General features: G+C 42.1%; 1 protein-coding gene across 22 annotated transcripts in view; it reads left to right on the forward strand.

Annotated features, from left to right (window-relative positions):
- Window positions 1–15291, forward strand: part of RAI14 (retinoic acid induced 14) — a 176285-nt gene that overhangs the window by 134580 nt on the left and 26414 nt on the right. For all 22 annotated transcript variants that reach the window (NM_015577.3, NM_001145522.2, XM_047417088.1 and 19 more), the window contains 2 exons: window positions 5032–5120; window positions 12805–12869. In NM_015577.3, coding sequence (NP_056392.2) covers window positions 5032–5120; window positions 12805–12869 — 154 coding nt within the window. The remainder of the gene's footprint in view (window positions 1–5031; window positions 5121–12804; window positions 12870–15291) is intronic.

Genomic DNA, 15291 nt, shown 5'->3' on the forward strand with positions numbered 1-15291 from the left:
TCTAGCATATACTTCAATGAGTAATATGTCAGTGACTCTGATAAAATTAAGTAATTCCATTAGAGTCTGCGTCAAGTAGAATGAATGAAACCTCAGCATGATGGGAGGGTTCAGGAGCTGATACATTTTTGTATTTTCTGAGAGTCTTAATTACATTTTACAAATTACATGGATGGTTGGGTTGGTAAGAAGTATGTGAATTTTGATGGCTTTTTAATTTTGTTTTTGTAGCAGTTGTTTGTATCCATGTGTGTTGGTGCCCATATGTATTGTTTGGGGTTTGGTTATTCTCTCAAAACCAAGTTACCGTAAAAAGTTTGAATTTTAATATTTCTTTATTGAGTAGTGGGACCGTCTAGACTGTGTGCTGGCTCTTACTAAAGTCATTTGTTTTTCTTACCCGTGGAGAGGTGTATTCTTGAACCCTTTAAACGGGTCTCTACTTTGGCCTAAGACCATATTAGAAAACTTTTTTGAAGTCACTTATTATATGCCATATAATTAAAAAGTTATATGGTATATTCTCCCATTACATTTTAGCCACAATGCCCGTATATTAAATAAGCAAACAAACTATATGTGGCAATTAAAACTTAAAAAAAAAAGCCTGAATTGGCTCTTAGAAATATTTAATCAAGTAGTATCCACTAGAACTTAACATTTCATCCTGTGGATCATCACACACAAAATACCCAACCCTGCTGTCATTCAGGGTCCTAGCAGGAACAGGTAGCATCAAATAGGATAATTGATGAGAGCTTAAGAAAGGAACTATTTACAAATATGTGGCCAGATTAGGGGAAACCAGTAAGGTTGGGAATGCCGCCCAGGATTCTAACAAGAGTGAGAATCTATTTCTACTCTTGACCTAAAGGGGCAAGGAGGGAAAGCTGCAGCTGTGGCTGTGGGAGAGCCGGCCTGCAAAGCTGTGGCCTTCACAGAGGAAGACAGCCACTGCCGAGGTATGGCTAGGGAAGGAGGGGAGGAGATGATGCCCTGAACCCCATCGTCATTCTCACTGGGCAAGCCCAACCAGGAGCCAAAGCACAGGGCAGCCCATTGGATGCAGTTCATTAGGGGACTGCCTCTGGGTAGAGGGCAGACCTGGAGGGGCAGAGAGAATGCACAGCGCTAGTGACTATCTCCTCAAGAGCAGACTCACAGACTGTGTTTCCTGGCTTTACTTCCATTTCCCAGAAGCGCATACCCAGTGAGAGGAATGATGATACACAGTGGAGCTCCTTATCTGGAGAGTCTGGAGAAATGAATCATACACTTCTAGCTAAAATGATCAGTTTTTCCCTTTCCTGCTTTTCTTTTCTTTTTTCTTTTTTTTTTTTTTTTGAGACGGAGTCTCTCTCTGTCGCCCAGGCTGGAGTGCAGTGGTGCAATCTTGGCTCACTGCAAGCTCCGCCTCCCTGGTTCACACCATTCTCCTCTCTCAGCCTCCCGAGTAGATGGGACTACAGGTGCCCGACACCACACCTGGCTAATTTTTTTGTATTTTTAGTACAGACGGGGTTTCACTGTGTTAGCCAGGATGGTCTCGATCTCCTGACCTCGTGATCCGCCCACCTCGGCCTCCCAAAGTGCTGGGATTACAGGCGTAAGCCACTGTGCCTGGCCCCTTTCCTGCTTTTCAAGATCATTCCTATGCCTGTGTGTTTTAGAAAGCAGAGCAGAAGCTTTTGTGTGACATCAGAACACAACAAACACCTGGATGTTAGAATTTTCTTGCAGAAACACCTTGAAATAATGTTTAACTGAATCACATGAACTAGCAATGGTTTTACTAGCAAAAAATATGGTATTAGATGCATGCAGTGTAAAATCAAAGCCAAGACTATCTATCCTTATAGAATGAGCTGTTTCTAGTTATTTATATTTGTTTGTACTTTGTCTGTTTTATCTGTAAAAGCAGTAAGTGATGCAGCTTTAGGTAAAATACATGAAGAGAAAATAATGAATTTGGAAAATTCTGTCATTCTGTTTTCTCAGCAGGACACAAGCATTCTGCAGCATAATAGTTGGAAAGTCCCCAGAATAGAGAAAAAAAGTCACTTATTGATCTAAACTCTCAATGGGAGAGGGAGGACAAAATAAAATCTCTCGCTATCACACGATTTATTAAAGCGTATGCAATGAAGCTTTAACTAACTGGATCCCTGAAAATGTATTTCAGCCATCAAATATATAAATTTAGGTTGATATCAGGGATTTTCTTTTACAAAGCTATGTCTAAGAAAATTCTTTTGTGGGACTGGAAATTGAGCGCAGCTTCCTAACACCTCACTTCTGCCTTGTATTGATCGTGGGCCTTCCAAGTGATGATCCTGAAACTCTGCATTTCCCAAATCATTTGTAGAATATCATAACACGTTCATCAGACTGCATTTACCAATGTACAGGAGTGGCCTACAATAATGCTTCACTGTCAGATGGTCTGCAGTTCCAGCCACCCATAAAAGACTATGTAATCCAGAGGTAATCCAAGAAGCCTCAGAGTAGAAAAAAATAAAAATATCACATGGGGAAGGGGGTTAGTAACTAAAAGGGGCATATGGAGAACTTCTGGGGTGCTAGCAGGAGGGTTTTGGGGTCTCTGACCACATTCTGTTTCCTGATTAGTATGAAGGCAAAATATTTCAGTTGCAAAAATTTAGCAAGCTGTACAATTATATGTGTAGCTTTCTTTACATGTTATATTTCAATCAAAAGTTAAATGTAGATAAATATAATTGATTGATTGATTGATTTGGGTGTGTGTATATGCACATGGGCAGTAGACACTTCCTGGTATGGTTATTTTTAGAATGGGATATGGCTACTCTCTTATTTAGATACTTTTGATTTAGTTTTCCTCTTGTCATAGGAGATGGCATAGTGAACAGCTTAGAAACAAACACAAAGACATTAAGAAGCTAAATATTAATCAATTTTAGGGCTTAGTAATCCAGGGGCATTTCAATTAGTATCCCTAAACATGCAATTCAATAATTGAGGAGACTCCATATTCCCAAGAGCAATTAATTATGTTACATGCACTATTACTAAGGCTGGGAAACTTTTAGAAACCTTCCACCAAGATTAATAAAAGACTTACTGCTTAAAGGTGGACTTATTGTAAAATGAAGCTATTCCAACAATGTTGAGAAGTGGAGGAATTATTGCACTGCCAGTATAGTTTGGTTAAGCTATATTGAATGAGGAATTCCATTTAAACAAGTCACTATGGCCAGGCATGGTGGCTCATGCCTGTAATCGCAGCACTTTGGGAGACTGAGGTGTGTGGATCACATGAGGTCAGGAGTTTGAGACCAGCCTGGGTAACATGGTGAAACCCCGTCTCTACTAAAAATACAAAAATCAACTGGGTGTGGTGGCACATGCCTGTAATCCCAGCTATTCAGTAGGCTGAGGCAGGAGAATCACTTGAACCTGAGAGGCGGAGGTTGCAGTGAGCCAAGATCATGCCACTGCACTCCAGCCTAGGCAACAGAATAAGACTCCATCTCAAAAAATATTCAAAAACAAAAAAAAGTCACTACACTCCCAAATCATTGTATGCAAAGTTTTATTGTAATGTGAAATCACTTATAAAATAAATTTTGACTGTAAATAGATATTACACATAGATTGCTGCACAAATACAGAAATAGTTGCGTGAGTAGAGCCAGGTAAGCTAAAATAATTAAACGTTAGAGCCAAGGGAACCATTAGAAATTATTTGACTTGATCCCCAGCCTTTACAATGGAGGAAATTTAGGCACAGAGAGGTTAAAATGACTTCCCAAAACACACAGATAATTATGTTATGGCTGATTTGCAACTAGTACTGAAGTATTCCTATTTGTTGATATGTCCCCCTCACTCAGCCAGGTTATTAAGAGGTCTGGAATCAGACCAACTTGGGTTTAAATATCAGCTATCGGACTTTCCAGTTGAATGTTACCCTGGATTTCAATGATAGATCCTTCCCAGCGAGAAAATATTATCTGGGCATTAATTCAGAGGTACAGACACCAAGGGACTTCATGAGAGGTATCCTGAGGGCACATCCCTAAAACAGGACTGACTCAGGAGAAGAACTAGAAGGCTCATTAACCTCTCTATAGGATGGCAACTGAGAGAAGGGAAACCTGCCCAAATTTTGCAGCCATCTTGGCCTCTGGGCCTGACCACCCAGTGGAATTGTGCTTTGCTTCTTTCTGCATGCAAAAGTGCCCTTCATCCCGGGATCTGGAGGGATGATTGAATTGGCATTTGGATGTTATCCCTTCTTCTAGTGACCAGTCTAAACATGCTGATCATGGTTTGTGCTCCCAAGTTTCACTGAGTTCTGGAGTCTTAATGGTGGGCTTTCTCTAATGCTGTTTGCACCAGAGTATAGACACTTGCCATCTAATGGAGAAAGTAATAGAACTCACCTTAAAGAGCTGTCATAGGAATGAAAAACAATGCATAAAAGTGTGTAGTCAGATGCTTGACCCACATTAGGCACTTACCAAATATTGCATGCAACTATTGTTACTCAGATACAACACAACAGTGGGCATTGAGTTGTCCAAGAACCTTGGCCACTGTTTGACTTAGACAAGATTTTCTTTTTAGAGCATATCACTTTAAAATGGTGAAACAGCTGTGGTGAAAACACTAGACAATAGGAAAACATTGATAAAGACATATTACTTAGAAATTCAACCTAGTTGGGACTTTCTGATTTGTTTCATCAAGAGACAAATATATGGCTGAATCTTACTTTTTTCAAGCCTGGTCTTTGGGGTTGGAAGATCAAACTCCTGCTCCATCCCTTAACTAAAGCTGTCAACGAGGAAATTATCAGACCATCCTGAGCTTCTGTTTCCTCCTCTTTAAAGTGAGATTGATAATAATGCCTAGTCAGTGGGTGCTTGTAGAGCTCAAGGAAGAGAAAGTGTACATGAAATGGCGGGGGGCGGGGGGGAAACTCTGTTGGAGATGAACATTAAAGAGTAGAAATCTCAAGGAGATTGTGTTTACTTCTCTTTCCAGTTTCCATCTTGCTGCTGCAAAAGGACACGTGGAATGCCTCAGGGTCATGATTACACATGGTGTGGATGTGACAGCCCAAGATACTACCGGTATGTGGTTTTTAGTCTCTTAAGTCAGCAGGCCAGCACCAGATTAGGTATCAAAAAGTAATACATATTCATTATGGAAAATTTAAGGCCAGGTGTGGTAACTCATCCTGTAATTACAGCACTCTGCGAGGGTGAGGTGTGTGGATCACTTGAGGCCAGGAGTTCAAGGCCAGACTGGCCAATATGGTTAAAACCCATCTCTACTAAAAATACAAAAAAATTTAGCCAGGCATGGTGGCATGCACCTGTAATCCCAGCTACTCAGGAGGCTGAGACATGAGAATCACTGGAATCCTGGAGGCGGAGGTTGCAGTGAGCCGAGATTGTGCCACTGCACTCCAGCCTGGGCAACAGAGCGAGACTCTGTCTCAAAAAAAAAAAAAAAATTAGAGTCTACAGATAAAATTTAGAGTCCAAAAGAAGAAAAGAGAATCACCTCCAATAGCAAGACTCTGACATGGTTTTGTTGTATAGCCATACTTCTGAGTTTTCATCTTTCATGTGGTTAGTCAACTAGAGACTGTATGCTTCTTATCCTCATTTTTTATATTATTTTCTAAGATTATATGTACAGACCAAGCAATAGTCCCTAATTTTTGTTTTTATGAATCATTGTGTGAGGTGATGAGTGAGTTACTCAGGAGCTCATTTCATCAACTGAGATAGGCTCTGTAGATGGAAGCCTTGAACTTCATCTGGACCAGCTGCCCACGATTCTCACCCCTTGCTGTACTTCAGGGCATCCAGTTCACCTGGGAACTTGAAGGAAGGGAAAAGAGAAGAATAAACAGTACACACACACACAAACACACACACACATACACACACACACAAATATATATACCTACACTTTACCCTCTGAGATTCAGATTCCATTGTCTGGAAGTTGCCAGTCAACTGGTATTTTTTTAAAGCTCGCTGGGTGATTCTAATGTGAAGCCAGTGTTGACAAAAGATGAACAAGGCAAATGGAGAGAAAAGGTAGCGTAGTCTTACCTTGTATAAAACACTGTCCTATAAGAAGGAGCCCCTGGGGTCTCCAGCCTGGGATTCTGCCCCTGCTGGCCACCCCAAAAGACCAAAGCAACCACTGATGGCTTTTCATTTTTCGATTGTACTCGAGAATTTTTGGCTTCTAATAGGTTTCTATTAGTGTTTACTGGGATACAAAATTAGCCTAACTCCATTGCCTTTATCTAGGCTTTTCGTGAATCCGTAATGGATCCCTTTCTTTTCTCCCATCCCCAAAATTGGCCTCTTCAGACTAGTCATCTTGAGGGATCAGCCAGGTATTGCAGGAATGCTATTATTACTCAAAATATGGTTGGGAACAGGTTTAGAATTGTTTTCATTGTGTGAGGACTTAAAAAAAAGAATCTCAGTGGTTGGGAATCTTTATCCTTTGAGAATAGGGTTTTTTTTTAGGGCAAACCTAAGAGCCCTAAAAAAATTTGATGTCAAGTCAGGTGAATGATGTTTCAAACTGGTAAAACCATTTTTGGTCAAAAATAGGGAGTGATTGAAATAACAGAATGATTTTTCTGAGCAGTTCCACAGAAAGTTCCAAAAATATTTTGAGAAATGGCAACACCAATATAGGGGGATAAATGGTTTCCTTAAGTGACTGCCTTGAGGGAAATACTAATTTATGTTTTTCCAATTAAAGTCATCTTTAAACTCAAGACCCAATTATTGTGTTTGTTTTTAAAGTTCATTGTCATTGCTCTTAAAGTTATGCCATAAAACCACATGGTGCAGTATGATTTGCTAAAATACCCCTAATGAGATGTATGTCCTCTTAAGTAGGAGAAGTTTCCCTCTAAGAAACCCATAATCTGAAAGCATTAGCTCAGAGTGAATAAACTGGTGCCGTCACACGGTTTTGTTTCATTGTACTTGATATTAAGAAATAGATTAGACAGGACTGTAGTTATTTTCAGCATAACCAAAATCTTCCCTCACGTCTTTTTATTGTAGGGAAAAATAAGTTGGTTTTTTGTGTGTGTTTTTTTGTTTGTTTGTTTTTGAGACGGAGTCTTGCTCTGTTGCCCAGGCTGGAGTGCACTGGCACGATCTCTGCTCACTGCAACCTCCGCATCCCAGGTTCAAGTGACTCTCCTGCCTCAGCCTCCTGAGTAACTCAGATTACAGGCACCCACCACCACCACGCCCGGCTAATTTTTGTATTTTTAGTAGAGGCGGGGTTTCACCATCTTGGCCAGGCTGGTCTTGAACTCCTGACCTCAGGTGATCCACCCGCCTTGGCATCCCAAAGTGCTGGAATTACAGGCGTGAGCCACCAAGCCCGGCCAGAATAAGTTTTTTTTTTTTTTTAATACATGCTTATTGTAGAAAAGTTGAGAAATATAGTAAACTATAAAGAAGAAGATAACTCAAGTTCCTACTCCTATCAGAAAGAAAAAAAATATTTCTATTTTGTTGTATTTCCTTCCAGATTGTCCCAATACATTTTTACATGCCTGAGATCACATTATATAATAAATTCTATATCCTGCATTTTAATTTATTAAATATCCCGCCAGTTTCATTTCCCCCATTAAAGGCTCTTAAGAAGCATAGTTCTTGGTGGCCTCATAACACCCTGTGGGTAGAGCTCATATTTACCACCAGAGCCCTAACCCAGTTCCTGAGAGGCTGGTGCAGTGCTGAGCAGGAAGACCTGGATGCCCCAAGGCAGTGCCCACTTCCTGCAGACTGAGATGGTACCACTCTCTAAGAAGCAACACTGGAGGGAGTGCTGTGGACACAGCCTGGATATTTCCCAGGATTCGCCAGTGGGAACCAATTGAAATTGGTGGAATCCACAGCACTTTGGGGCCACAGGACATTGTCCAAACATTCCATGGGTTGAAGATGTCTCAGAGCTCCCGTCACTTCCTTCTCACCTGATATTTTTAGCCATGATTCCAGCACTTCCCTCCTTGGGCTTCATCGTTTTATTTTGGCCTGAAGGAGGTACCAGCTTCTTCCCATGATTTCTTGAAAGCATGCAAAGAGAACACGGGAACAAAAGAAGAACACTGCATGGAAAAAAGTGCATCTAGAAAAACACTTCTCATTTTTTTCTGTCCCAATAAACAGGTTAAATTGTAATGGCTTTGATTGCCCATGCCTGTGTCTTACCTGTTGGCTATAATACCCACCTATTCACTCTCCCTCTCAAGAAAGCATATCTGAATACAAGGGAAGGATGAGGTTACGTTAGTAACAGTGCTTAGTGGTCATCACTAGTCCTAAACGTTTGTTGTGGTGGTTAGGGGATGAATTAAATGGCTTAGCTTTTACAGGTATTGTCTTTCCATGTGGAACCTACCTTAAGTTTTGCCACTTTATTACTGAGATGCAGTCACCTTCAATCTGAAGATCCAGTGAGAACTGGTACAAAGATCTGTTACCATAAATCCTGCCCTGTAGAATTTTTGAAAAAAACAAAACACACACACAGACACACACACACACACACACACACACACACACACACACACACACACAAAACCACCTTTCAAAATCTATTACACTGGCTCTTTTTATTCTTTTTATCCATGATTAATGTCTTCAGGATGGTCAAATTGGTATAATTTCCTACTTTTTAAACTTTTGACTGAATTTAAGTTATAGAAGCAAGAATCTGTTAGCATTTTTTTTTTTTTTTTTTTTTTGACACGGAGTCTCACTGTCTCCCAGGCTGAAGTGCAGTGGCACGATCTCGGCTCACTGCAAGCTCCGCCTCCCGGGTTCACGCCATTCTGCTGCCTCAGCCTCCTGAGTAGCTAGGACTACAGGCGCCCGCCACCACGCCTGGCTAATTTTTTGTATTTTTAGTAGGGACGGGGTTTCACCGTGTTAGCCAGGCTGGTCTTGATCTCCTGACCTCGTGATCCGCCTGCCTCGGCCTCCCAAAGAGCTGGGATTACAGGCGTGAGCCACCACGCCCGGCCAGCATTTTTTAAAGCTATTTTTGCAGATGAAATACTTGGAAGTCTGAGAATTTTTATGGATGCTTTACAAGCAATTTTAAGAGCAAAACCCTGTCAGAAGATAAGGCCTTGGATGTGATTATAGTGCAATATCAACTGTCATGTCATTTTAGATTGATACTACTTAATTCTTCCCTGTTTTTTCTAGCTATCTTAAGAATTGAATACATGGTCATAGTCTGAGGTAGTTTTAGGGAAAGGTGCCCTGTGGCCAGAGCAGTTGGGCCATTCTACTTAGATAGCCTTTAAGTAAAAGGGTTCTTAGACTACTTGTAATAGTCCAAGACTCTTAATTTATAAATATCACTAGTCTTTTATTTGCAGGTGGAATTCTGCTGGAAGGCACTTAGGATTGCCCTTGTTATTTGCCCACAGGGAAATTGCTTCCTGATACTCTAGACAGATCCACAGCTATATGGGAGTCAGAGATGCATTGTCTCATCATAGTTGGATTCTGTCACTAAAATAGTATTTCGTCCAGAAAATTTTGCATTTGGAGAGAGAATTTGGTGTTAATAGTAGCAATGAGAGACATCTTACTTCAGTGTTATAGTGTTCAGGGAATGATGCGTCATTCGGATTTTGAGACTATTTTTAGTGAAAAATACTTTTCTGCTGCTCGTTAGAAAAACATCACAGGGCTGGGGAATAAAAGAATTTTTGCTTCTATAGAAACCCGGCACTTCCAGGTATGACTAGAACACTTACTCAAAGTAAAAAGAAAACCTGTTATTTTATAGTAAGTTGTTTACATCTCCCAACCATCTTGTCTTTGGAGAACCAGGTCTTTTTCCAGTGGGTGTTGCTTATGCAGAACAGCTTTTGTTCACAGCAGGGACAAGTTAATGCATTGCGTACACGACATAAACGGTCTCCATCTTACAATCAGGATGTGTTCCAAACCTTCATTTGTAAGGCATTTGTTTAAAACTCAGAATGTGCTTGTCCACAGAAACAGTGGTATAAGTGATGGTTGGAGGGCCAAGCTACTCCACCAAAGCCTATTTAATGCATCATGTAACTAAACTCATACACAGTTATGCTTCATACACTCTGGAAGGAGGGATCTCATATAATATAACAGGAGGAGGAGGAAGAGAAAATCTTTGTCTTCTTACTTCCAAGAATCTCTCTTCCTTCATTTTTAAATTTTGTTCATCCTCCTCCTTTTGGGAGGGGACAGAGGGATTCCTGTCTCTCAGTATCCTATGCTGATGAAACAACTCTCCCCCACACCTACCCTAAAAATCTCTCCGTACAGCTGAATTCAAAATAGAAGGAATCGGATCATTTGACTTTACACATTTTTATGCCATTCACCATAGCCCTATGGCCCACTAGTTTTTAAATACAGTGTTTCCTAGCTATATGATTCTCTAATTAGTGAATTTCTGGTCAGTGTTACAGACTGAAGACTGATTTAGAAAGAAAAATGGGGCCGGGCGCAGTGGCTCATGCCTGTAATCCACACTTTGGGAGGCCAAGGTGGGTGGATCACCTGAGATCAGGAGTTCGAGACCAGCCTGGCCAACATGGTGAAACCCCATCTCTACTAAAATACAAAAATTAGCCAGGCCTGGTGGCACGCACCTGTAATCCCAGCTACTTGGGAGGCTGAGGCAGGAGAATCGCTTGAACCCGGGAGGCAGAGGTTGCAGTGAGCCGAGATGGTGCCACTGCACTCCGGCCTGAATGACAGATAAGACTTTCTAAAAAAAAAAAGGTATTTGGGGCCTGGGCCACCATCATATAAAGAAGTTGTTGGCCAGGAATGGTGGCTCACGCCTGTAATCCCTGCACTTTGTGAGGCCGAGGCAGGAGGATTGCTTGAGGACAGGAGTTTGAGACTAGCCTGGGCAACATAGCAAGACCCCCAGCTCTACCAAAATTTAGCCAAGTGTGGTGGCATACACCTGTGGTCCCAGCTACTAGGGAGTCTGAGGTGGGAGGATCACTTGACATCAGGAGATCTTGGCTACAGTGAGCCATGCTTGTGCTACTCCATTCCAGCCTGGGCTCAGAAAAAAAAAAGAAAAGAAATTGTTCCTCGAAGTCAGTGGTTCTGATGAACTGGGCTTGATATTGCCCCCCAGGGGACATTTGGCAATGTCTAGAGACATGTTTGATTGTCACATTTGGACCTCTAGTGGATAGAGGCCAGCGATGCTGCCTAACGTCCTGTACTGCATAGGACAACCATCCACAGCAATTATCCAGCTTATAAGGTCAATGATGCTAAGGTTGAGAAAGTGCATCTACGGCCATACCACCCTGAACACGCCCGATCTCGTCTGATCTCGGAAGCTAAGCAGGGTCGGGCCTGGTTAGTACTTGGATGGGAGAAAGTGCTTTAAACATGTCCTAAAGTATGGGAGTTATCTACAGGTGTTATATTATGTCAAATAGCTTGGGAAATCCAGGATTAAGAGTTTACTAGGTGTGGTGGGGTGTCTGGTAGTGGTCAGGTCCTCTGCTCTGACCCTCTCCCCAGGTCCCCCCATCCAGACATTTGAAATTAGCATACCCTCTAATTCAGATGGACAGAAATGTATTGAGAGCCTACTGTGCAGCAGCAGAGTTGTCAATACTAGAGATACAGCAGGGAATCAACAGGGGTGTCTGTCCTCACCAAGCTTATATTCTCATGGGGGAAAAATAATTAACTATATAAGTGTGTGTCTGTATAGAGAAAGAGGTAAAAGGGAGTGATAGAAGCTGCTAAGTGCTATGAAGGATAAAGAAATAAAGCAGGGAGTGGGGGTAAAAGAATTAGGGAGAAATTGGAATTTGAAACGAGAAAGTCAGGAAAGGCCTCATTGAGAATTTTACAACTCTCTCCCTTCTGTATAAGAACTTTGAAAATCAGAAAACTCCAGGTAATTTCCATTCAGGGCTGGAGTACATTGAGAGGAGAGGGAAATGAGATGTCAAGAGTAGGGGCTGAAGTGTGTGGATCTTTGATGTATTCTGCTGGCTTGTGGGTTGCCTTCACTGGATTCCTCAGCCTGTGGTGGGCATAGCCTGGCATGGCTCTTATAGACACAGGATGTTTGGCAAACATATTGACAGCTGAAAGCAGAGCTGCTGAGCTGCATTATCATGAATCCACCGCAAGTGTCTAGCCTGGAGCTGCTTTTCACCCCAAGACAACAGCAGTTGGAACCTGTGAATGTCATCCAGTAGGTGGGATAGGGCATGGGGGATGCTCGATTCTTCCCACTCGCAAGAATAACAGTTCCAGCCCAGGCACAGTAGCTCATGCCTGTAATCCCAGCACTTTGGGAGGCCAAGGCAGGAGGACTGCTTGAGCTCAGGAGTTCGAGATCAGCTTGCGCAACGTGGCGAAATCTCATCTCTACAAAAAATACAAAAATTACCCAGGTGTGGTGTCATGCTATTTGGGAGGCTATACTCCCAGCAACTTGGGAGGCTGAGGTGGGAGGATCACTTTAGCCTGGGAGGTTGAGGCTGCAGAGAGCCATGATCGCGTCACTGCATTCCAGCCTGGGTGACAGAGTGAGACCCTGTCTCAAAAAACAAAAAAACAAACAAACAAAAAAACACAGTTCCGTCTTTTTTGGATAACAACCTATTTCCTTATAGCTGTCTTCTCATATATAAGAAAGAGATTTTTTTTAAAGTGTGGCCTTTTTAAAAAAAATTATTATTTGAAAAAATCCATTTAGGACACAGCGCCTTACATCTCGCAGCCAAGAACAGCCACCATGAATGCATCAGGAAGCTGCTTCAGGTAAGCTGGTGACAACTTAGAATTATAAATGTGTCGGTTTTACAATTTGAAAGTAATCATATTTGTGAAAGAACAAACACACCCTCCATACACACTCCTTTAAATACTGTCCCCAAACCTGTGTTTCCTAAGAAGCTTCATGATTGAAATGATAGCCAAGGAGAAGACTGTCTCCATAGCAACTCCACTGGCAGAGAAGAGGATCTAATCAAAATTGGAGTGTCTTTTTTGGGATCTAGCCTTTTTCTCCCCTTTATTTGGTTCCTTCTTTTCTTTGCTGAAGGACTTACACCCTCTAAATAGTGTAAGTTTTTAAAACATCGGTTTCTAAGCTGTTGGAGATCCTTACCACACAGGATCTCCAGTATCCTAGTATTGTGAAATCATCAGTAGAATGCAGCTCTTCTTTGAGAAGCAAACTTTCAACCATTATTTCCTCATATGTAACTTGATGAGCTTCAGTTCTTGGGTTTTGTTTAAGTCCTTGGTTTTATTCTTCTTTATAATTTTCAGCCAACTCCCTGGTTCAATAATCTTGCCAGGAAGTTTGTAATGATCCCTTAAAGTGACAACTTCCATAAATCTTTAAAGATGAATATTTAATGAACTCCCAATAGCCATCCATACGGTAACATCCAGTTGTTGCCAGTCAAAATGCAAACTGGCTGTTTTCAGGAACAGCATAGAGCAATAAAATACGTGTTTGCTTGTACTGTCTGTTCTGTTGAACTGTTGTCTTGGCCTTCACAAGCACTATTTGGGACCCAGCATCTTGCTTTAATTTGGCTTTGAAATTCTAATGCAGAAATGTGATCACATTCTTCAACTTGTCCTGTGCTGTTGATCACACAGCTTCTTGTCTTGCGTTACATGATGCAAGCTATTGCCAGTTCCAAGAATGCTTAACCTTAACAGGTCTTTGAAGCTAAATTCAAGAAAAATAGATTAATGTCTGTGATGTTGTATTATGAGGCTTCCCTTTGAAGACAACTAAAATAGAACTTTTCTTACCTGCCTCTTCTGGGACCAGACACTCTGGATAAGTGAAAATCATTGCTCAAGCTCTCTGCCTCCATATCCTTGGCCCTACCTCAATTTTTAAGTAATTGATTTATGTTTTAAATCTCCATTCCCATTCTGGCTTGGCTATCCAGACTTTGCATCTGACTCTGATTTTAAGGAAGAATTAACCTGACAAGCTGGATGTTCTCGTGGGCAAGAACCAGATATTCTAGTCTCTAATGTAATCTTATATCTGGTTATGCAAATGGATTGGTTTTTCTTCGGAATCTTTGAAGCCTTTAAACAGTTCCTTGTGCTGCTTTAAAATTAGGCCAAAGCATGGTAAGTCGTAACTTAATCTCCATTCTTCTTACCACGAAAGGGCAGACATTTCACTAGCGTGGTAGTGTGTTATTACCTCCTCTCACTGCCAAACCATTCAGATTGTTCTTCTTCCTGGATGGTGGTTAAAACCTCAGCTGTGTCCTCCTGTTGGGCTGTTTTCCCAGGTCCTGTTCCTCTTTGCACTCTAGCCAGTTCTTCACCTCTTGTCTCAGTAGCCCAGGCTCTCTGTGCTGTGATCCCCATTACCTCCTGCTGCCCCCCACTCCTATACTCTCTGCATTTATGGATCTCCCTGGGCTCTCCAGGCTTTTGCTCTTATTGCCCGTCTGCTGGAGCCATTCCCCCTCTCCAGTGGCTACCAAGGTAAAGTTCTTCCTTCTCACGGCAATGAGCACAAATAGAGCCTTTTGAGATTCTTCAAATAAGCTCTCTCAGGCTGGGTGCAGTGGCTCACGCCTGTAATCCTAGCACTTTGGGAGGCTGAGGCGGGTGGATCACCTGAGGCCAGGAGTTCGTGACCAGCCTGGCCAACATGGTGAAACCCCATCTCTTCTAAAAAATACAAAAATTAGCCGGGCGTGGTGGTGCATGCCTGTAATCCCAGCTACTCGAGAGGCTGAGGCAGGAGAATCACTTGAACCTGGGAGGTGGAGGTTGCAGAGAGCCAAGATTTCGCCACTACACTTCAGCCTGGGTGACAGGGCGAGACTCCATCTCAAAAACAAACAAACAAAAACAACAAAAAACAAATGAGCTCTCTCCCTTCCCGAACCCTCAGCTATTCCTCCCGCCCTTTCTCATACTGTGTTTCTTGGGCACTGTGCACCGTGTCAAGCAGTGACAAACAGCAGCCCCTATCCCAGTGGAGCTCCCAGTCTGGTAAACAATCCACAAATAAACATTACAGATTGCACAGCAGTAAAAAGGAAGCTAACGGGTTACTGTAAGAGAGGAATCAGAGGTGGAGGTTCATGGAAGGCCTCGTGAAGGAGGTGATATTTAAGCTGAGACCTCCCAAGGATGCAAAGAGCCACAAGGAAAGCATTCTAAGCAAATGGTACAATGTGTGCAAAGG

The sequence above is a fragment of the Homo sapiens genome, chromosome 5 (assembly GCF_000001405.40).
Source record: "Homo sapiens chromosome 5, GRCh38.p14 Primary Assembly".
Lineage (NCBI taxonomy): Eukaryota > Metazoa > Chordata > Mammalia > Primates > Hominidae > Homo > Homo sapiens.